Source organism: Homo sapiens, chromosome 5 (genome assembly GCF_000001405.40).
Source record: "Homo sapiens chromosome 5, GRCh38.p14 Primary Assembly".
Taxonomy (NCBI): domain Eukaryota; kingdom Metazoa; phylum Chordata; class Mammalia; order Primates; family Hominidae; genus Homo; species Homo sapiens.
Window position 1 is genome coordinate 173,913,435 of NC_000005.10, and position 23,925 is coordinate 173,937,359.

At 37.9% G+C, this 23,925-nt stretch overlaps 1 protein-coding gene across 5 annotated transcripts in view, besides 1 other annotated feature; it reads left to right on the top strand.

Moving 5' to 3' along the window:
• The window catches only part of CPEB4 (cytoplasmic polyadenylation element binding protein 4), a 73,632-nt gene that overhangs the window by 25,086 nt on the left and 24,621 nt on the right, over nucleotides 1-23,925 (top strand). For 2 of the 5 annotated variants that reach the window (NM_030627.4, NM_001308192.2), the window contains exon 3: nucleotides 19,016-19,066. The exons of the other annotated variants lie outside the window; for them this stretch is intronic. In NM_030627.4, the coding sequence (NP_085130.2) occupies nucleotides 19,016-19,066 (51 nt within the window). The remainder of the gene's footprint in view (nucleotides 1-19,015; nucleotides 19,067-23,925) is intronic. 5 annotated transcript variants of the gene reach the window in all.
• Nucleotides 4,569-4,828: an enhancer, noted in NCBI's record as "active region_23672". NCBI's record gives its function as "activates an Ori minimal core promoter by ATAC-STARR-seq in GM12878 lymphoblastoid cells {active_cell/tissue: GM12878}" and the evidence as "EXISTENCE:reporter gene assay evidence [ECO:0000049][PMID:35858748]".

Consider the following 23,925-nt stretch of genomic DNA (forward strand, 5'->3'; position numbering starts at 1 on the left):
TGATCCACCCACCTTGGCCTCCCAAAGTGCTGGGATTACAGGCGTGAGCCACTGCACCTGGCCAGCACACAGTATTCTGATACGATTAACAATAGAATTTCCTTGGCCATCAGTTTTAGCCAGGACATCTCTATCAGATTTTTTTCTTCTAATTTGCTCAACGGATAATTGTTTAAAGTTCTGCCTTTATTCTATATTCTCTTTTTAAGTTCTCCTTACCAATTTTTACTAAATTAAGTTTCTTTAAGCTGATATTATAGGGATAATCAAAAGTTAGGTCTGATGACAAAATAAATTAAGTCTGATTGATCTAATCTGGGAACATACAGATTTTGTAAAATAGTGATTTATAGACTGCAACGTGATGGAATAGAAAGACAGTGGCTTTTGGAATCAGATCTGGTTAAACGGCCACTCTGTCACTACAGTCTGTGGTGGCTGTGAGGATGACATAATATGATGCAGCTATAGATTTCAGCGTATTGCCTAATTCATAGAAGACACTAAAGAAATTACATGTATTATTACTAAACATGTAAGTCTGCTTTCATGCTCATCAAAAAAGCCAGCTTCAGTTTAAGTTTAGGTGCCAATCTGGCTTGAGTATATTACAGGAAGCTTGTGTGTTTTTTCCTACAAAGAGCAGTAAAGAATTCACAGATGAGTGCATGGATCTAAAATGCCAGATTATAGTTACGCTTGTTTTCTTTTTCAAACAAGACCATGACCTTTGTATCATTGTAGCCTATCACTGCCAAGACATTGTTTTTGCTCAGGGTAACATTTTATTTCTTGTCAAACTATCTTCTGATTTAGATAGCTATTTTAGGAATACTATGCTTGATTTTAACAGTGGTTCATTCTATTGTGAAATTTTGTTTAAAGGTAATAAAGATAATAAAATTTGAATAACTTAAAAAAACACATTGTCATTTTGAAATAGGTATCTAACACCTACCAATTCATTTTGAAAATAAATAAATAAAATACTCTTCTAGTGCTCTGCTTCCTTAGAAACAGAAAATAGAAAATTGACATTAGCCAGGTGTGGTAGCTCACACCTGTAACCCTAGCACTTTGGGAGGGCCAGGTGGGTGCATCACCTGAGGTCAGGAGTTCGAGACCAGCCTGGCCAACATGGTGAAACCCCATCTCTACTAAAAACAGAAAAATTATCCGGGCGTGGTAGTGTGCACCTGTAGTCCCAGTTACTCCAGAGGGTGAGGCAGGAGAATTGCTTGAACCTGGCAGGCGGAGGTTGCAATGAGCCGAGATCGGGCCACTGCACTCCAGCCTGGGCAACAGAAGAGAGAGACTCCGTCACAAAAAGGAAAGAGAAGAAAATTCGTGTTAATTCTGAGATTAGTAGAGAACAGTATACCACTCAGAAAAAAAAATTAAAAGATTTGATTGTTTTAGACTTTACAATTCAAAGACAACTTTAATAATCTTAAAAATAATTTCATAAAAAATTATGAATGACCTCATTTATTTTTCTCTTTCATTTCTGGTTCCTCATAGGTATGCAGTTTGTGTGTGTATGTGTTTAATACGGCCTAAAATTGCTACGGGAACTACCAGTTGAATCTATTGGTGTGGCTATTATTAACTTAAATTTTCAAAAGAGCTAGAAAACTTAATTTGTATTTTTCATTTTGGAACAAAAAAATTCCCTTACTGTAATGCGGTTAAAAAACTTTATTTTTACTATCAACAAAATGCTTAATAGTCCTAGGAACGTTCAAGTACAGTTTTTGAATTTCTTTATGAATGTGTTATTGATTCCAACTGGTTTGTTGGAAAACTTATTTTTTTTTAAACAAATGTTCAAAGGAGTACATAGCTTTCATAATTCGTATTAGGTTTTTTTATAACTTATTTTTAATTGCTTTTCTAAGAATTTTGAGGCTACTATGATTTTTTCTATGTACAGGGATTTAGCTCTTTGTGCGGTGGGGAAAGGGTTCTCCTCATTCCTTATCTCCCTGTCCTTTCTCTGGTCAGCTGGCAAGTCTGGATGTTATTTTTATCCGCGAAATTGTGTATTGCCTTCTCCATAACCAACACCAGTGACAATCCTCAGAAGCTCTTCCCCAGAGACCGAATTCATTTTCTTTGCTGCACACTCAGTCTCATAAGCTTAGAGCCTGAGCTACAGGCTGATTTTGAATTTTGATCTCCCAGGTGGCAGCTTGTGCATTGCTACAATATTATTAGGCTTATCAAGTTTTTCTTCACCTGGACAGAAAACTATTTTATTGCTGTAGATGCCTAGATGATTATTTGGGGAATATTGTATCTTATTGTTATGCATGTTTTTTCTCGCTTATGAAATTGGTACTTGTTACTTAGAAATGGAGCAGCATGAAATAGATTAAAACCACATGCGAGTACATCTGTTTTCAGCCTTCTGAAGCATAGGTTGGACACAGTGAAATAAAGATTCATGAGTTAGTATTATATTCAGTGTATAGAGAGACCTCTGAAAATTAGGGAGCCTTTTTTTCTTTTCTGTATGTGAAGGGAATAAAGAGACAAAAATAGTGCTTAAAAATTAGACGTCAGACAGAATATAACAATCCACAGTTTCATGATAGTGGTTGAGTATTTTAAATTCAATATATGAAAACAATATAATATTCAATTTGCTTCATTTCACTAGAAAGCCAAAATGAGACAGCAAAATTATTGAGAGAACAAAGGCAATCTACAGACTGTCAAAACATTATAGTTGTTCTTCAGATATGAAATTATGACTTAGATATCATATTATTCCTTTGAATAGTGTGAAAATGGAGTCTTTTTCTCTTCATATTGTTGTAGAATATATGTTGCTTTCAGATTTTTGAAAGAAAGGCTCAACATATCCACCACAATTCCTCTGAGTTTCAGGCATTTCAAGTACTTAATTTGAATGTAAGCAATAATGATTGCATTCAGAAATGCAAGTTGTTTAAAGTGCCAGTCTTTTACATATCCCCATGGTGCCCAGGAAACCTATTGCATATGTAGAGGAAGTAGTGGAAGCATGTTATACATCACTGCCTCACGTGTTTCATGCATCGCTTTATTTTAAGAGCTATGGATCTACTCCAAAAATGCTATGTATTTAATTCCTGACTGCCAAAGGTGTTGTGACCTTGCATTTTAAAACACTTTCATATTTTTTCTTGCTTTATCTACGTGTTAAATTTAGAGACCCTTCCCTGACTATTTTTCATTGCTGTAAATTTGTTTGAAACAAATGCTTAAATGAGTGGGCAAGTGATGATTCCATCTGTGCTTCTTTTCTTTGTTGCTAAGCAAAAGAATTTATAATAACCTTTCTAGAAGAAAATCATGAAACTCAAGTTGAAAGTTTAGTACACAAAGCTTGTTTCATCAGTTTTATAAAAGTTTTTTTTATATCATTGTAAGAGAGTGGCTGTGGGGATTATTTAAATTCTGTATCTTTACAGTTGGGATAGAATTTAGTGCTACTTAAAAATATGTAATAAATAATAGGAAACCTTAACTTTTCTTTCGATACACCATTTTACTAATATTCCTATATTCCAAATTGCAGTCACTTAGTTGACTTAGAGAACACATGTTGTATACTGGTAGAGAGGCATTAGAACAAGTATTTTATACAGATACTGACTCTGTGCAGGCTGAAATAGCTCTGGAAACCTGCTATGAGAGTTGCTAAATTTTGTCACTTATTTATTTCATATGTTATAAATTTGAAGTAATTTGGGAATAAATAATTTTTTTTCAAAATGAAAGGAAGTCCTACTAAAATAGGTTCTGTTGCTTTAATATTAGAATGATTTATTTCAGGTAGGAATGGTGGGGAGAGTATATAATTTCTTACAGTATTTAACCTTTTTCTATTTAAATTGGTTTGCCTGTGGCAAAATAAGAACAGATTACTGGTACCCTAACCTCCAACCTTTTTAAAGGATTAGATGGACATTTTCCTTTAAGGGACATTTAATGGGGCAGATTCAAAGTACCATAAAGAAGAAGTGGATAGGCTGGGCGTGGTGGCTCACGCCTGTAATCCCAGGGCTTTGGGAGGCCAAGGTGGGTGGATCACCAGGAGTTCAAGACCAGCCTGGCCAACATGGTGAAACCCGTCTCTACTAAAAATGTAAAAATTAGCAGGGCGCGGTAGCGGGCGCCTGTAATCCCAGCTACTTGGGAGGCTGAGGCAGGAGAACCGCTTGAACCTGGCAGGCGGAGGTTGCAGTGAGCCAAGATCAAGCCATTGCACTCCAGCCTGGGCGACAAGACTGAAACTCCATCTCAAAGAAATAAAAAAGAAGAAGAAATGGATAACGCAAACCAGTTAATTTTACTCGGATTTATAATCAAATTTCTCCTTCCAAGTAAATTATTAGTGTGTGGTATCAAATGTGTCTGGCGAATTGAGGGATCTTTAAATATCATTAAGTCTTTAAGACTCAGAGTCGGCCGGCAGCTGCCTGCGTGTCTGGCTGAAGCCTTCCTGAACTAGGCTGGCTCTTTCTTGCTCGGTTTGGATGATACCAAGTAATTCAAAGTAGCGTAACAGGGGAGTGACTTAAGTCTCCTAAGAATTAGAAAGTTGCCTTAATTCTCAAAGCCTCATAAGTAATGGAGGACGTTAAATAGCAAAGAGTATAATTTAAACTGGGCTACAATTAAATGTGTGTGTGGCTATGTAGGAATGAAGCGTGTTTCTTCTCCTCCTGTACTCTCCCTCTCTTGACTGCGGAAATGGAACATCCTAAACAGTCTTTCTCTTGCCTTGGCTTAGCTGTGCTGTAGGATGGGACCTGGGCTTCTGTGTTGAGGTAACTTCTATTGTGAGGAAGAAGAGGGCGAAATTGTGTGGCATGATTTTTTTGTATGAAAAGTGAAGGGCCTATTCTTAATTTTGAACAACTGCCTGCTTTCTGATTTACTTTTGATCCGGATTTGTTGGATTCCTCACTGTACTGTGTAGGTTGAGCTTACAAAGGTGTGGATTTTGAGCAGTGCGATTACCCCCTTTCAGATTTGGGGTTGCTGTTGTTTTTGTCTTTGGGTTTTTATAAGGCGGGGAGGGTAAGGGGAAATGCCTAGGAAAGAAAATCATGTGATGTATGTGAATGCCGACATCGTCATAGGATCGGACTGAAGCCTTTCTCCCTCTAGCCTCTGAATGGAAACCAACTCAGTTCAAACTAAATGCATCTTGTGCATGGGCCAGATCCTCATCTGCCCCGTTTACTTACATAACACATACTAGTCAATCGAAAATAGTGATCCTCTGCCCTCTACCTGCCACACATTCGTGATTGAATATTTAACCCTTGTTTTTATTTGGTCTGAAAATCAAATAAGCAGTTGCCACAAAGGGGGAATTTGTCTTATGTCATCCATGATGTGGGTCCGTAATTACTTAAGCAGCCCCTTTATCTTAATCCTGAACATTGAACACAAGGAATCCTATTTTGAGGCCATGAAAATCGGTTATCGTTTTATTCTTTGTTACCTGAGTGAGAGGTGAGGGTAACGGTGGGCGAGTAGATGGGGGAAGTATTATAATAGTAAACTTTTAATGTTATTAGAAGGTTAAACATACATTTAAAAGATTTTTTTAATACATAATTTTTTCTTTTCAGTTGTAGTAAAGTTCCCTTATAATATGGTTATTATGACTTAATATTGTTTGACATACATTCAGGGCAGGGATTTAACTATGTGTGGTAGATAAAAACTTAGAGATAAATAAGAAAACAAGCAACAATCAGGTAACAAATTAACAAGTACTTTTCTTTAATGTTTTGCTTTGTCATATTAAGTTTTGTGTACAATTTAAGCTTATGTTTTACCATCTGGACAGGCAAAAATAGTAATCTCCACTCAGAAATGAAATCAGAATGACAATTAAGTAGTAAGATTTTCAGACTTTGTCCACAGTTTGTCAATGATAAATATTAGGGACCTTCCTACTGTAAAAAAGAGAAGGGGCCCCACAATATTTATGGGGATACATGTCATTCATGTGCCACATCTAAATTAATAGAGTGTATTGTGCACCTTTAATAGTGTCACTTGGTTTTTCTGTTTTCCTTCTATAATAAAATTCTATAGAGGTGACTCTTGCTGTCTCATTTCCTGGCAGCTACAAAAACAGCCCAAATATCTGCTTAATAAAAAAGCCCTTTGTTGTCTATGAAGGTCTTAAGGCTTTCCTTGATCTTGTTATATAATCCATGACGATGTTATTTGCTGACTTTGGGGGAGGGGAAGAAATGCCACCTGATTCATAGTTGTCATAAAAATATCCAAGATTCTCTGCATTTAGTTTAGCAACAGGAACGAGGGAACAGTTCACAATTGTGCCACAGAATTATTACTTCCCAAAACTCCTGCATGGACTTTCTACCTGAATGTTGTATGCAGTTGATTCATTTATCAACTGTATGTGCCTGGATTGTGAATTTCTTGTTTTTCCCCCTCACATTACCATTATCCTTACTACCAAAACTAAAAAGGAGGAGAGAGAAAATTCTCTGAAATTGTTCTTGCTTAGCCCTGTACAATTAGCCATACAATTTGTAAAAGGAATACTTTTTAAGAAGGTTTAAACTAGTCACTACTTTTCAAATCAGACATTGAGATGGTCAGGCTGCCTCTGGGCTTCATTATTTTATCTAATTGACTGATTCTGAATTCAGTCCTACACCACTGCACTCAGTTCTAAAAGCAAGGCTTTGTTTTATTCTGGGTATTACCTGGTAACCAGTCAATTAAGAACATTAGTGGAACTCTGAAGGGAAAGCACTTCCATAATCTCTTTGGAATCCAGTTGGGTTGATGCCAGTTGCTGTGTATTGGAAAAGAGAAGGAGGAATCAACCAATTAGAGCCCCCTTTTAGTGCTTGAGAAACCAACAATAAAGAGCAAGTCTTAATTCTGAAGAGCAGCCCTGATTAATTGAAATATAAATAACTTTTAAAAATCTAACTTCTGCTGGCTATAATATTCCAAATAATAAATGTCTGGCATGGTTGACTAAATAGAGGTATTTAAACCAGCTGCCTGATTTCTTTATTGTAATGATCGGAAGTTGTTAGCATATAACAGACTTTTCCAAATGTTACGAAATAAAAGGAGAAGTGTTCAGGGTTGTGTTCAAACCTGGTTTGGCCACTAGTAGTGCCTTAGATTGGTCACTTCTCTCTAGACCTCAATTTCCTCACCTGTAAACGGAGGGGTTGAACTTAATGATCTTTACATTACCATCAGCAATTCAGTCTTACATTACAAAACTGGAGGTACAGTTTTATATTTTAAAACTGAAGGTTTTTATGGTGTAATGACTGAAAGTAGCCCATGAATATCATGTGATTCTGGGTGTGGCAGTATTTCATATGGAGTAGTTTGTATAAGGGCTATAATCAGAGATCAGATTTAGTCGGTTGAGTGAAGGCTTTGGGTCTAAACTACATCTTTTCTTTTTGAGATAGGCCTAAAAATATTATGTTTAGAAAACAGTTGTTTAAACTTGGCCTCGTGAAATGTTTTTGTTCTCCATTTGTGAACCATGGGCCTCTTCAGCCATGGGAATTATTTGATAGAGCCTGTGAACCCATTAGTGACCAGGCATTCCAGTTAGATGATAGATGTCACTTGTGTATGCATGATTATCTTCCAAAAGCATGTGGATGCTGATGTAATGCAATTAAAATACATTTAAAGGTGTTGCTGAGTTCATAGTAGCCTTCTGATATTAAGATTTTTTTTTGTTTTTGTTCTGTTTTACTTAGGGTAGAGACAGGGGTAGGAGTCTTCAGTTATTATTATGGAGGAAAGCCTCTCTGAAATATTTTGATCAAAGTAGGTCTTAATAGTTATTACAACAGATTATGAAATACTGCTCTAGAGAACTTCCCTAATTTTTCTGCTTTATACTCTTGCCATTAGAATGCTCCTTGTTACAAAAAAGAACATAACATAAAAAAGGAATTTAACAGAGGAAATGGTGAGGAGGAGGACAGGGAGGAGTGAGGAGGCTACTGACGCTCTCCTAAATTGTCCTCTCCACCAAGTAGCATTTTGGAGCTTCCTGACATCTGAAGCCATCTTTATTCCTTTGTAGCAGGGTTAAGAATATGGGCTGCTGAGGCTACATCCTGCATGATGCCAGGGGGTAGAGGGAGCCATCTGACGAGATGGGTGCACTCCGTGTTGTATAACATGGCAGTTCTTGTTAGGAGGGGGAGGCAAGTGCTACTAAAGCCTCTTTAAGCCACATGGTTTGGAAGTGTCTTATATTTTAGCTTCTGCTTATACTCCACCTCCACAAATATTTGAACATATTCAATGTGCCAGGTAGATTGAAGGATAGTTTTGATGCTGTGCTGCATTTTTCCTTTTCGAGGTAGACCTGGACATTCTGTATGGGAAGCAGCATTAACCAGTTTCAAGTGAAAGGGTGCTTACCTCTGATACCATTTCTCTTTTATTCAGTGCCCCTTCTGAGAATTATTTGTAACCCAGATCCTTACGGTAACCTGTTATGTGAGTTTTGTGGTCTTCATTTTACAGTTGAAAAGAATTGGAGATCCCAAAGATGCAACAGCTTCTGTAAAGTCACTCAGATTCCTGGTACCTACAAGGGTCAATATAGGAGGAACACACAGCTTCTGGCTCCTGGTTCAATGGCCTGAGTATTTATTGTGTAGCCTCTGAGAAGGAAACAAACATAAGAAAATGGAAACATTTTTGTCTAGTATGCTTTGACAGAGGGTAGGCATTCAATTTTTTTTTCTCTTTCTCTTTCTTTCTTTCTTTTTTGAGACAGGGTCTAGCTCTGTTGTCCATCCTGGAGTGCAGTGGCACAATCTTGGCTCACTGCAGCCTCCGCCTCCTGGGCTCAAACGCTCCTCCCACTTCAGCCTCCCAAGTAGCTGGAACTACAGGTGCCTGCCAGTGCACCTGGCTAATTTCTGTATTTTTTGCAGAAATGGGGCTTTGCCATGTTGCCTAGGCTGGTCTCAAACTCCTGGGCTCAAGCAATTCACCTGCCTTGGCCTCCCAAAGTGCTGGGATTACAGACATGAGCCATCATGCCTGGCCAAGATTTCTTAATTTCAATTTAGGAGATGGTACAAAATTTAAAAATCTGTATTTTATCATAATCTATGAAAGATTCACACATCACAGTTGGCTGGTTTCATACTGAAGTGTGCCTTATTGGGAGTGGAAACTTTTCCAAGTTGACTTGTTCTCTTCCCTGATTCTGATTCACCAGATTTGCCATGGGACTTAAGCATGTGCATTCTTCATGTGATTCAGATACACTTCCTTCGCTTCCCACCCCCAACTTTTGCGCTGCTTTGGATGTATATGTAAAGTCCAGAGCTGTCTGAGGCCATTCATACAACAAATATACATCAGGCATCTACTGTGCACCAGGTACTATGGTTGTTGGGATATATCAGGGACTAACTAAAAACAAAGGTTCCTGGCTTCATGCAGCTTATTTTCCAAATAATTACCAGACATCTTTGAATATCCTGTTTATTATTTAATTTAGAAGATTAATAAGAGGAAAAGTAAGAACCCAGAGTATTGATAGGAGAAAATAGGTAGTGGGCCTTCTGAGAAATAACAAAAGGTGAAATTCTTATATCAGATATAAAATGCAAGTCCATTTTTCATTAAGGTTCAGAAAAGTTGTCAGAATTCATGTTAAGTAAGTGACTAGAGTTAATGATAGATAGGTCTGTATGCAGAAAGCCAACTAGTGACTTTGCAGATTGCTTTTTGGGGTTTGGACTTCAGTAAACAGTTTTAATGCAACTTTTTATCAGTGTAGTAGCATTCTATTTTATAAAATAATGGTTATAAATAAGAAACTCAGTCTTAATTCTCTTTAGTTTCTGTAGTCAGAGAAAAGTCTAATTAGATCTCTTGTGGCTTCTCTCTCTTATCTCTAAAGTTCTCAATCATTTACACTGACTTAGCTTGTGGTCCCTAGAGATTTCATAAGTTTATCTTGGTGTTTTTTTATGTTCATGTCAGCACAGAGAGCCATTTGTCAAAATTATTTTCACCTTGGGGCCAGTTCTTTATTCATTGGTTCTTTTAATATATGTCTCTTGTAACACATGCTTCTTTTAAGCAAACTTTTTGCAAGGTAGGAGAATTTTAATTTACTGCCTTGGCTTTTTTTCTGGATTGCTTTAATTTTTTCTACTACTTGGTCTGTTTTTCCACTTTTCTTTCCATTATATTTTTTTCACCTTTTTTTTTCCAACTGACTTTGGCTGGCTTAGCTTGGACAAAAACTACACCTAGTTTTGCCGAGTTTTTTAGAGCTTAAAAAATTGCCATTAATCTCTGGTATCATAACATCCTCTTAAGGCAAGTTATCTTGTTGCTCTGTCCTCTAAATGTAGCATCTAGAGTCAGAAGGCTTCTGGCAAGGATAAAAATAGCCTTCCTGCTTGCTGGTTTGTTGTTAGCTTTACTGGCAGTAGGAAATCTTTTGAATTCCTTAATTGGGTCAGCTTCTTACTAGTTTCTCTCTGGACATTCCCTTCTGCCTGAAATTCTTAGATGCTTTTAGATCTTGCAGCTTCGCACCTGCCCCGAGTTGTAGTCAAAGCAGTCCTTCCCTTCTATGAAACCTTCCTCCATCTGTAGAAACATATTCCATTGACCTCTCCCATCTTACAGATAAGTGTTATTTTCTTTTGCCACTACTACAATCTGTTTTTCAATCATCATATTACAATTGAAACATTAAATTTGGGGTTTTGGTTCAAAATGAAGATCCTCTCTGGTTTTATTGAAAAGAAAAATTTTAGGTTGAATTTTTGAAGTTTTCATTAAAATTATTATGTATCTTTGCCAGTTTGGCTTTGATGAAAGTAAGGGGTTAGGTTTTGTTCTTTTCTCTCTTCCTGAGAAGACTTATATCCCTGTTTTTAACCAAGGACACTAGCAAATTCTCATTTTTCTGAAGCTGAAATATCCCCCAGATTTGCCCCTCCCTTTTCCAAGGTTCCAGTTTGGAACTTTTTGGCCAAAATAAATCCTACTTGTCCTTTCTCTTACAAGTGGAAAATTGTTGGTTATCTTCGGCTTATTACTGGGGAAGGGAAAGGAATTAATTTTGTTAAGTACCTACTGCATATTGAGGGATTTTTTTTGGCATTCTGCAAACATTATCTCAAGACTGTCTCACAACAGCTCTGTGAAGTCAATGGAATTATCTCTGTTTTCCTGAGGTTCAGCAAAGCTAAATAATTTGACTTAGGTCACAAGATGATACCGGCTTGACTCTACCCATTACACTGCATCTTCCATGGCAGAGAGATCATCAACTGCTGACTTTGCTTCATTCATTTTCCACAGTTGTTTATTGAGCACCTTTCTCTGCTCCAGGCTCTGGGGTAGCACACCCAAAATCCATAAAGATCTCATTGCCCTACAGCAAGAGATTAAAACAAGTAATGTAAATATGGTGTAATAAGTGTAAAGAATACTGGAAGGAGTACAGAGGGTTATCTGAATCAAAGCAAGGATGATGTGGGGCAGGGAAGGCTTCTCATAAGATGTGAGGCCTAGCAGGGGAACTGCTGGGACAAAAGTGTGGAGGCTTGAGTGGTAAGACATTGAGGGGCAGAGAGAGAGAGGAGGGCCTTCTAGGTAGAGGGAGTTACCCAGAAGTTGAAGTTATGGGCCAGCAGTTCTGAATGGCTGGAGTGCCTGATGTGGGAAGGGAAATGGCAGTGTGGAGAGTTAGGAAAGCCATTAATTCAAAGATTTTTGTAAGTACTGGCTTTTGAGCTGAAAGCCAAATTTGTAGCAGAGAAGGGTTTTGTTTAGCCTAAACTCTGTGTGTTTAGTGAATTTTAAGTGGCTCTTTGGGAGGGGACAAGACTCTTCAGCTGATATCTGTCTCAGCCAGTTCCTTCTTTGTGATTTTGCATGGGAATGTCTTTGTTGGAAGTTGGTTGTAGCACAGATAGATAAGGGGGTAGAATAAGCTTACTGATTTTGATTTGGGGAGTTATTTTTGTGTCAATACACTAAATTATTAAAAATTAAATTTATACCATTAAATTATAGAACATATTGAATGCTGTTTTGTTCATATTGCTATGTCTTCTGCATTTGTGTAAGTATATAAAGTTGGCATTCAAAACCAGTGGATTTATTACACATTTCTTGAGCTTTGCTGTCCGATGTCCAGGTCCCCACAGCGCCATCTTGCTGCAAGTCTCAAGTGGAGTTTGTAAAAACAGAAGATGTGCAGGGGTAGGAGGACTACCTCCTTTAAAATATTACTTATGACGGTATAGTTTTGATTTACTTAGATGTGAGCTAAACAAAATTAGCAGGAGCAGAGGTAGGAGCAGCACTTCTAGTTAGGCAATCAACAACTGCAAATGTATGTGTATGTATATATTTGTGTGCATTAGAAATTTTTAATGGTGCTCACTGAAGACTCCTCTGCAAACACCCTGCTTTTCTTTGGAGTATCCACATTTTTATAGGGTGAATCAATCAAAAGTTGATCCTTAAAAATTTTATGCTACTTGTCACTTTAGAGTTATTCCCTATTATCATTCCTTGGCCTGCACCATGTTGTCAACATTGTTGGCATGACTGTGAAAAAGAAAAGCTTATAGATAGCGTGAAATCTAATTGTGCTGCAGATACATTTGATACTTTTTGGTGTTTGTGTGTTTGAAATGGCAGCATTTATTTTTATTATTTCCTGTTGAATTATCAGTAGTAGTAATATCTGGATTATTCTTTAGAAAATAACTTATTTTACCTAATTAATGAAAGTAATACTTATATATACTGCTAATGTAAAGGAGGATTTCCTCTGGTCTTTTCTCCTTTTATTTTTTGACTTGGTTACTTTAGTTAGTGTCTTAAAAGGATATGATAGTACATACTGTTCTTTTTAGCACCTCCTGCCCCCACCTATTCTAAGTCAGTCTGTTGGTAAATATTGGTTCTTCCAACTGGCAAATGCTTAGCATAGAATTGCCTAGTTGACGTATGGATCTTTTCTAGGTTGTAGGATTTGGTAGTGTAGATCCCCAGAGTCACACTGTATCTGTTGCCTATATTTGGCTAGGTTGAGTCATGTCACCAAATATAGCCTATGCCTTCGGCATGATGTATGCCAGGCTTCTGGTTCCAAATTCTGCAGCTGGCCTCCAGAGACTACTGCTTTTCCTGTCATAATGTTCCTTAAGATTAGGGCTGCTGACCAGGCAGTATTTTTTATATTTATAACAAAATCAATACCAAGAGCCTTCAAAGATTGAATTTTGCTCATCAAATAGGTTCACATGCTGAAATCCTAATGCCTTCCTTCTCCCTTTAGAAATTAAATTCTGAATGTGCCCAAACCTGGATAATGATTAAAGATAGATGAGTTCTTGGCTGGGCACCGTGGCTCATGCCTGTAATCCCAGCACTGTGGGAGGCTGAGGTGGAGGCATCACCTGAGGTCAGGAGTTCGAGATCAGCCTGGCCAACATGGTGAAACTCTGTCTCTACAAAAATACAAAAAAAATTACCCGCGCATGATGGCGGGTGCCAGTAATCCCAGCTACTCGGGAGGCTGAGGTGGGAGAATCACTTGAACCTGGGAGGCGGAGGTTGCAGTGAGCCAAGATCGTGCCATTGCACTCCAGCCTGGGAGACAGAGCGAGACTCTGTCTGAAAAAATAAAATAAAAAAGATGAGTTCTCAAAAACCCAACCAGACAAAACAGCAGGCAGGTACTGGGTTATATTAATATTCAGACATCTCAATTTTTATTTTATTATACTTTACTTATGAAATACTGGTGTTTTGAGTTCAGTGGAATGAACTCATCAAATGCTCACCTGGTACCCAAACAGGACACTCAAGATGCCTAGGTATTAAAAGCTCTAATTCCGAAGGGGGCTTTAATGTAAAAGAGGTAAGAAGGTTAGCCAGAAGCTGAAATGATTAGGTAAGAAAGTTAGTTGTTGCTTTGTAGCTACAAATAAAATTTGGTGAGTTCATTAAAAAGATGTTTCCAGCCAGGCGCAGTGGCTCAAGCCTGTAATCCCAGCACTTCGGGAGGCCGAGGCAGGAGGATCACGAGGTCAGGAGTTGAAGACCAGCCTAGCCGGGTATGGTGAAACCCTGACTCTACTAAAAATACAAAAATTATCTGTGTGTGGTGGTGCTCGCCTGTAGTCCCAGCTACTCGGGAGGCTGAGGCAGAAGAATCGCTTGAACCCAGGAAGCAGAGGTTGCAGTAAGCTGAGATCGCACTACTGCACTCCAGCCTGGGTGACAGAGTGAGACTCCATCTAAAAAAAAAAAAGATAGATTTGAAAAAATCCTTGAGAAAACTTATGCCTACGCAAAAGCCTGCGTGCACATAGATGTTTATGACGGCTTTATTCATAATTGTCAAAACTTGGAAAAACCAAGATACCCTTCAGTAGGTGAATATAGATTAGTAAACTGTGATCCATCCAAACAATGGACTATTATTAAGCACTAAAAAGAAATGAGCAATCAAACCATGAAAAGATATGGAGGAACCTTAAATGCATATGACTAAGTGAAAGATGGCAATCTGGAAGGCTGCATACTTTATGATTCCAACTGTATGATAGTCTGGAAAAGGCAAGTCTGTGAGACAATAAAAAGGTCAGGGGTTGGGGGCTGGCGAAGAGGGATGAATAGGGGGAGCACAGAGGATTTTTATGGCAGTGAAACTACTTTGTATGATACCATAATGGGTGGATACATGTCATTATACATTTGTCCAAACCCACAGAATGAATACCAAGAGTGAACCCTAATGTAAACTGTGAACTTTGGGTGTAACAAATGTATAGGTTGGTGCAAAAGTAGTTGCAGTTTTTGCCATCAACCTATACCACTCTGGTCGGGATGTTGATAATGGGGTAAGCTATGCATATGTGGGGGCAGGGGGATATCAGAAATCTCTGTATCTTCCTCTCCATTCTGCTGTGAACCTAAAATGCTCTAAAAAAATGACGTTTATATATTTATTTGTAAGTATGCAAATATGCTTATATAAAAGCACATATTTATATATCAACATAAAAATACATATATACGAGACACACACTCTTCATTGGGAACATGGAGTGAGGGCCACTGTCTCAGGCATGGGAGGGGATTATCAACTAGCTAGCCATGGAATAGAAAAGCTATAGAAACTTACACCAATATAGCAGAGAGGATATTAGAACAGAAATAAAGGAAAAAGTACGAGAGTGCAAAAAGGTTGTAGATAACCAAATTCCCATGGCACTTTTAATGGAAGCTTTTGGAGGATTTCCAGAAAGGAAATGATATGTGTTATCCATAATATGATGGACAACTCTTTAGATATTTTAGTTGTGGAGAGAATTTACGGAAGAGTAGGGCACACAAGTTAGGGAAGCATTATGAAAGTTAAAAAAAGAAAACAGTTTCTTAATGTCACTTATGTTAAAATTTAAGTAGAAAGAATAGCTGATTGTTTAACAGAATGTCACAGGTGTGTTTGCTACTAGAGACCACAATTGATTCTAACCTGACAACAGGAATCATATCACAAGGCCGGATCAAAAAAATTAAAAACAAGTATCACTTTCAGAGTTCAACTGTGAACTTTGCCAGTGATTTTTCAGTGTCGCATTGTGTCTTAGCTGGAGGGTAGAATGACTGTAACTTATAAGGCCAAGGGACAGGGAAAGTGTTAAAGGTCACCTCCTTTGGTTGTGGGAGGTCTCTTCAGGAGATATGGGAAGAGTTAATCTCATAATAGAGTTAAGAGACCGTTTTGTTACTGTCAAGTTGAAATTTTCTCTTTAAAAGATACCCAAAACATGAGTTTGTGATAAAGTGGAACTTCATTTGTGAAACTTCATTGTGAAACCAGCCTGTTTAGTAATTGTCTTTTGGATTCTCATTGTTCATTATCCTCCCTTAGGGCTGGGTGAGGTGGCTCATTCCTGTAAACCCGGCACTTGAAGAGGCTGAGGTGGGAGGATTGCTTGAGCCCAAGAGTTCAAGACCAGCCTGGGTAACATAGGGAGACCCCCATCTCTACATAAAATAAAAAATTAGCCAGGCATGGTGGCATGCATTGGTAGTCCCAGTCACTTGGGAGACTTGAGGTGGTAGGATCACTTAAGCCTGGGAGGTCGAGGCTGGAGCTGAGATAGCACCACACTGCACTCCAGCCTGGGCAACAGAGTGAGACCCTGTCTCAAAAATTAAAATAATAATAATAATAGTCCTTCCTTGGCATCAAGTAAAAGGGATTATGGTTCATATAGAACAGCCTTGGTTTCTATTGCAATGTTAGCATTAAATAATTAGAATATCTTCTTGGAGATAATAAGACATTTCCTCTTAATATTTCAACTAATGTTATCAAATATTTTTGTCTCTATATTGATTTAGTCATTCTTCTGAAAATGTTTTATGATAAATGAAAGTGTGATAGCTCTTATTCATTTACTAGAGAGTTTTAGAAGTATAAAATCTCTATATATGTTCCATTACAGAAAATCAGCTGCTACTTTTAGTTGTGATTCAGAAACAGTACTCTGTTCCCACCTCCCAAGTTTTTTTTTTTTTTTGAGACAGAGTTTTGTGCTTGTCTCCCAGGCTGGAGAGCAGTGGCGAGATCTCAGCTCACTGCAACCCCTGCCTCCTGGATTCAAGCAATTCTCCTGCCTCAGCCTCCCCAGTAGCTGGGTTGATTACAAGCGTGCACCACCACGCCTGGCTAATTTTTGTATTTTGTAGAGATGGGGTTTCACCACATTGACCAAGCTGGTCTCGAACTCCTGATCTCAGGCAATCTGCCCGCCTCGGCCTCTCAAAGTGCTGGGGTTACAGGCATGAGCCACCGCACTTGGCCCTCCATCCCCCAAGTTTTTAACAGGGTCATGTTCTTGCTCGTAGCATCTCAAGTCTATCCTTTTAAAAATACATACTTGTGACAGGCCATAGATCCAGGCTTTAGTTAAAAAGTAGCCTAGATAGAATTCAGTAGATTTGGGTGCTTGGCTATGTACATTAGAAGTAAAGAATGAAACCAATTTTTAGGAAGAAATTGAAATGTCAAAATTAATTTTTACCTTTTTTTCTTCCATCTCCATTCCTACCTCCACTCCCTACATAGGACTAAGCTGAAATTTAAATGGAACGATTACCAACTTAGTTTCTTTTAAATCCTTTCATTTGGTTTTAAAATTGTAGGAAAATTGGCAGCCGGGCGCAGTGGCTCACTCCTGTAATCCTAGCACTTTGGGAGGCCGAGACAGGTGGATCACAAGGTCAGGAGATTGAGACCATCCTGGCTAACACAGTGAAACCCCGTCCCTACTAAAAATACAAAAAAATTAGCCAGGCATGGTAGCGGGCGCCTGTAGTCCCAGCTACTTGGGAGGCTGAGGCAGGAGAATGAGGCGTGAACCTGGGAGACGGAGCTTGCAGTGACCCGAGATTGCGCCACTGCACTCCAGCCTTGGAGACAGAGTGAGACTCTGTCTCAAAAAAAAAAAAAAAAAAAATTGTAGGAAAATTATAAAGTTCAGAGTTTATCCAGACTTCAAGTTTTGGATATGGATTAATTAAAGCTGTTGGCAATAGAGAATAGTTTCCTCTTTTCATGCCATGAGTTCATTACTATGGAGACTGTTTCAAAGAAGCAGCATTTTAAAACATTGAAGACCTTAAGTTCCTTTCTAAAGAGTTGTTAATATGTAGCTGTTGGATTGATGGGACCCCATGTTAGCTCTGGTTCCCAGAGTATTTAGTGGAACTAGCTAGAGTCCTTGCTGGCATCCTGGAAGGCCTGCCCCAGCCGCAAGCCATTGGAGAACCTCTGTTTATCCGTTATTCCTTAGCTTTTGAGAGTCATGGTTCTGTGGGGTCAGAGTTCAGACTGCTGTTTCCTAAAGGAATGTTTGTAGTTCCGAGTCACTTTAAAAGTCCTGTTCTAAATCCTGATTTATAGAAGGTGGGACTATAGTAGAGAACTAACAACCAGGTCCCCCTATCCATTCCTTAGATGAGGAAGACCTGTTGAGGGTTCTTCAGTCATTCTTCTCAAGGTGGGTGCAGATGGCATGTGGGCTTTGGAGATGTAAAAGTGTTGCATGATGATTCTTATTTTATAACTTACAGTATAGAACTAGGTCCATATGTGTACTCAGTAAGGATTTGTAGTGTAGATAACTCAACTTACATGTAAAACTCTTCCAAAACAGAAATGTAATTCCTTCAACATAGAGAAATCCCAGTGCCATTCCCCCCGCCATGCATTTGTGGCTACCAATTTGGAAGACAGTTCATCCAACAAAAATTTTAGTACCTTCACAAATTCTTTTTTGAGGGGTATCTTGGGTGCCCATTTTAGTTTCAAAAGTAGATTTTGACACACTTCAAAATTCAGAGGAAAGTAACCCAGCATTTAGTGAGTGCCTACTGTGCCCTGGGCTTTTGATATTTTTCATCATATGTAAGTTTAGTGAAATGTTCTTCTTCCCTCTGAGAATATTTCCCCAAACCTGAAATTAAACCCATTAGCCTGTCTCTACATGTAGGCATAAGCCTGGCACTTTTCTTATGAATCACATAGGAGAATATTACTGCCAATTACATAGTTTCAAAAGTAACAAAACACTACACAAATGAAGAAAAATTTTCACATTTATTGGGGCAGAAATGTGAAGATTGTCATAATGAGTTGCTATTACATAATGGTATAAAGAAAATTACCTTGGATGGAAATTTGTAAATTAGAAGGACCTAGTTAAATATGAGAGATACTTTCTTTTCCTACTTTCAAACTTTTCCTTTTTGAATATTGATGAACATGCTGATTGATATATCCTCTGATTCAAATACCTTGCCTATTTGAAAGCAAGTCAATTCAGCTCTGTTATTGAATAAGTTTAAACCATCTATGAAAAAAGTAAACTTAGTAACGGCCTTCTTTTACCTTCAGGTCGTCTAAACTATTCATATCCAGGATCCGATAGCTCTCTGCTTATTAATGGTAAGTGATAATTGATTTACCCTAGTGAAGTGCACAAAACTGATACAGTAGTTGTGCTTCAGCAGTGGAGAAATGACATTAGTTTGTTCTGTAATGATAACTGTAAGTTGCTATTAAACTATCAGCTATTTTAAGAATGATTCTTTTAGCTCACAATTGTGGCAGAAACTTTTCTTTTTAATATGAGGGCCAACTGATTCCCTGTCCTGAACTTGGTGACAATGAGAATGAAAATCCCATAATGATACCTAAAGATTGGCTTTATCTAATATTAGCTTCTGTAGAGTGACCTTTGAAATGTCAACATAAAAGCCATTTCCACGTGGCTGGAAAAATGTTCCAAGAGGAAAGGATAAGCAGAGATCTAAAACCAGAAAAAGGCAGCCTAAAACCACAGTGCTTGACATTGCATAGGACAAGGTCATTTGCTGTTTGCTGTCTAACAAAAACAAGAAACATGAAGTTTTATTGGCTTTCCAGTGTCTTCATTAGATTCTCCTTTCCTGTGCTAATGTTCTGTTGAGTTCTCTTTTTATGCGCATAGTGAAGCAAGCTAAGTTTCACCAGGAGGAGGGAATATCCACTCACAAGAATTTTAGTGTCTGTTTTTTTAGTATCATGGTCTAAAACAATTGGGTGAAATACAGAGGTCTTGTTTACTTCTTTTCTACTAATTTGCTATGGAATGTGGATTTCAAATTTCTGTGTGTAGAAAATGTCTTCCATTTGTCAAAGCTCATTTTAAGTCCCACGACCTCTAAGAAGTGTTATGGACTAAATAGCTATATTCTCATAATTCCCAAAACAAATAAAAATAAAAATTCTTCCACTCCTTGATTTTAGTATGTTGTGAATGAGGAGTTAAAAATTATTTTTATAACTGGATCTCCTTTTGAAATCAATATGTTGAAGGATTGTTGAGCCAGGAGAAGTTAGCAGGAGATTTGATGTTTGAGAATTGCTGGGTACATCAGATCTTCTAGAGACTAAATAGTTTATAAAATCTTACTTGGTCATCAGATGTAGGTCTTTTCATGCTACAGTGCGAGAAATAATACCATAATGTAATATTCTAGCATAAATATATTAGGCCAAAAACCAAACCCAGTGGCGACAGTGGCATCAGGATAAGGAGAACATAAGGGATATATATATACATGCAGAAGAGTTTACCTTTTCCTTTGGAACTAGTTCAAGTCAGTTCCAAGTACTGGAAATTGTAGTGAACCAAGATTGGGGATATTACTGTGTCATCTTAGGCAAAGTGATCAACTCTTCTTTGTCCCAGTTTCCTTATGAAGGTGTTCCTGTTGGATTAGTTGCCTCTGGGGCCCATCTTGTTGAGGGTTGTCGAGAAAAATAAACTCTCTCTAGTGGGTTTTCCTTAAAGCTAAATTCACTTAACTAGGAAAAAAAAGCCACCTGTAATCCCAGCACTTTGGGAGACTAAAGCAGGAGGATTCCTTGAGTCCAGGAATTCAACACCAGCCTCGGCAACATGGCCAAACCTTGTCTCTACAAAAGATTTTTAAAAACTAGCCAGGTGTGGTGGCACATGCTTGTAGTCCCAACTACTTGGGAGGCTGAGGTGGGAGGATTGCTTGGGCCGAGGAGGTCAAGGGTGCAGTGAGCCATGATTGCACCACTGTACTCCAGCCACAGTAACAGAGTGACACCCTGCCTCAAAAAAAGAAAAAAGTATACTATTATGAGATTGCCTTTCCTTTTTTCTTCATTACTATCCTTTCTTTCATAAATAATTTTTAATGATCTTACTTGTCAATAAAAAAATAAAAGTAACTTTTTCCCAAAATATTTATGTTTTCAAATTTTACTGGTCCATGAACTTTAAGAGAAGACTAGATAGTTTTTAATGTTGTATACGTGGAAATTTTGTTTATTATAAAGGCATACTGACTTGGGTTAACATTGCCTCAAACTGAAAGACATGAAGATAAAGGACAAAGAGAGATGTCTTTCTTCTAAGAAACATCTCTTGCTGGCTCCCCAAGCAAGACCCGGGAGTGTGGGGTTTACAGTTGCCGTGGTCTCAGGTCTAGTACTGAGCTTCATGGGGCCCCAAAACTTGATTTTGTCAGATTTGATGAAGGATTAGTTTTTTAGTAACCAACCAACTAGGACCAGATGCCAATTTATTCATTTATAATGAAGCATAAAACTTCCAGGTAGACCAGATGCCAGAGGTGACTACTCGACCGACCTATTCTCTCTCCAGTAGCAATGTCCAGATTAGAGCAGAAGATTGCTTGAAAGTCGTGAAATTAAAACTAGGTAGGGAGGAGAGGTGTTGAGAATTTTTTAGTGACCTTGATCAAGATATGCACATTGTCCATTCTGTCAGTCATGTTTGTGAAATATCTTCTAGAGTGGATCACATCTGTAGACAAATTAACCTCATTCATGTATTCATTCTTAGTAGCTTTGCTCTCACTTTAGCTCAGGTTTTGGGGGTACCTGTATTGCAAATCTGGCATAATGAATTGTGCTTAGTGAAGATTAATTAAAGAATTTACAGGTACTACCCATCACATAGGGTTGTGGTGAAGATTCAATGTGTGTAAATCACTTAGCATAGCACCTGGCACGTAGTAAGTCAAAATAAGAGAATTAGAATAAGTAATATTTTTGGTTAGGAATTAATCTCATTCATGTATTGATTCTTAATAGCTGAAAATATATAAGAAAAAAATACAGAACAAAGGATTAATATGAGTTTGCAAAAATTGTTGAAAGTTGAACATGCTTTCATTGTCTGTCATTAAGGTAGATAATCTAAAACTATGCACTTTCAAATGCATTCCCTTCATGTCTTGTGTCCATGCAGCCTTTTCTTAAAACTGAAAATAAAAGCCTAATCTATTATGTCACTTTATAGTCATTGTTTAATTTTAAGACTGAAAGGTGCTGTAAGGAGCTATTCTTCCTTGTCCACTGTAATCTATTCAGGCTTTTAAAAACCTTTAATAAGGTGATTATATAGCCACTCTGCTTTGTTTCAATGTAACTTTCAGAGCTTTTTCTTCCAAGTTATCTGTTGAAAGCCGTTTCTTGTTTTGTTTCGATAAAAATGTAGAGCAGCTGTTTATTCTCTTTCTCACATGAACATTTGAATTTTGACTCTCTGATTTTTATTTTATGCTTTATTTTGAAATTTTCAAGCAACCTCAAAGCTTTTAGAAAGAGGTTTAAATCCTCAATAAACAGAAAGAAAATCCCCTCACCAGCCTCTTATTGGAAAAATTATAACAATAATTAAAAGAAAAAAGTCAGAGTCACCAACCAGTTTTCAGTGGTTTATATTGGACTAATGTTGTAATTTGCCTTTACAAAGATAAATAGGGTGTATTCATCCATGGATCAAATTATTTTTTTGCCCTGCTCGATCATCAATTTCCTACAGTTTCATACAATGACCTTCGTATACCACTCATGTTAAAAGGCAGTGCCAATATAATTCAACAATGATTGGTAATTGTGTTAAGAATGTTACAATTCACACTCTAGGGAATTTTTCAATTTATTGCTGTGTTAATAGTTGTAGAGATTTTTTTGAGGGGCAATCTTGGGGACAGTTCTTGGATTTTCAATGTATTTTTAAAACCAAACTATCTAAAGCTACTTTTTGGGTGCTCTATTAGTTTGCTAGGGCTGCTATAATAAGTACCACTGACTACTGGCTTAAACAGAAATTTACTTCCTCAGTTCTGGAGGCTAGAAGTACAAAAGCAAGGTGTTATCAGGGTTCATTTATTTTGAGGCATCTCTCTATGGCTTATAGATAGCTGTGTTGCCACATGGTTTTCCATCTGTGCATGTCTGTGTCCTGAACTCTTCTTATAAAGACACCAGTCATATTGGATTAGGGACCACCCAAGTGACCTCATTTAACCTTAATTACCTTTTTAAAGACCCTGTCTCCAAATATAGTCACATTCTGAGGTACTGGAGGTTAGGACTTCAACATATGAATTTGGGCAGGAGGGTGGGGGTAGGGGGTGGCCACATAATTCAGCCCATAATAGATGCCTTATACTAGTAAATTTCATGTAGTAGGGATATAGTTAGAATGCCCATTTTATGGTTATGAGAAGCAAGCCTAAAACTTAGTTTCCCAGTTAAGTGAGAAGAAGTGTTAAACATAGGCTAGTTACCTCAAATTCCTCTGGAGTATCTTGGCTTAGCTCTGAGATAGACATTGGATTAAAAGATTAGTTTTCCTCTTACCCAGCTTGAAACTTTATTTTACCTAAGAAACCACCACCACCTCTGTATAAAAATGCTTGTGCATTATACTTTTTTTTTTTTTTTCTCTAACCTTTCATTCTCCTGCTTTAGCCCTCAGGATTAGCTACTTCAAAAATGAACCTTGTGGCAGGAGAAAGTTATAGAGCAAAAAAAACGTGTTAAGTTTTAACAACTCATATATGTATTTTCTTTCCTTTGAGGAAGTGATTAGTAAGAGATCTATTAAGGGTAGCACAGAACAACATTTCTTTCCTTTTTTTTTTTTTTTTTTTTTTGAGATGAAGTCTGTTCTGGACTGATCCAGACTCCAGTCTGATCCAGGCTGGAGTGCAGTGGCTCCATCTCGGCTCACTGTAGCCTCCATCTCCCAGGTTCAAGCAATTGTCCTGCCTCACCCTCCCAAGTAGCTGAGATTACAGGCACCTGCCACCATGCCCAGCTAATTTTTGTATTCTTAGTAGAGATGGGGTTTTACAATGTTGGCCAGGCTGGTCTCGAACTCCTGATCTCAAGTGATCGGCCTGCCTCGGCCTTCCAAAGTGCTGGGATTACAGGTGTGAGTCACCTCACCCGGCCCAACATCTCTTAATTAT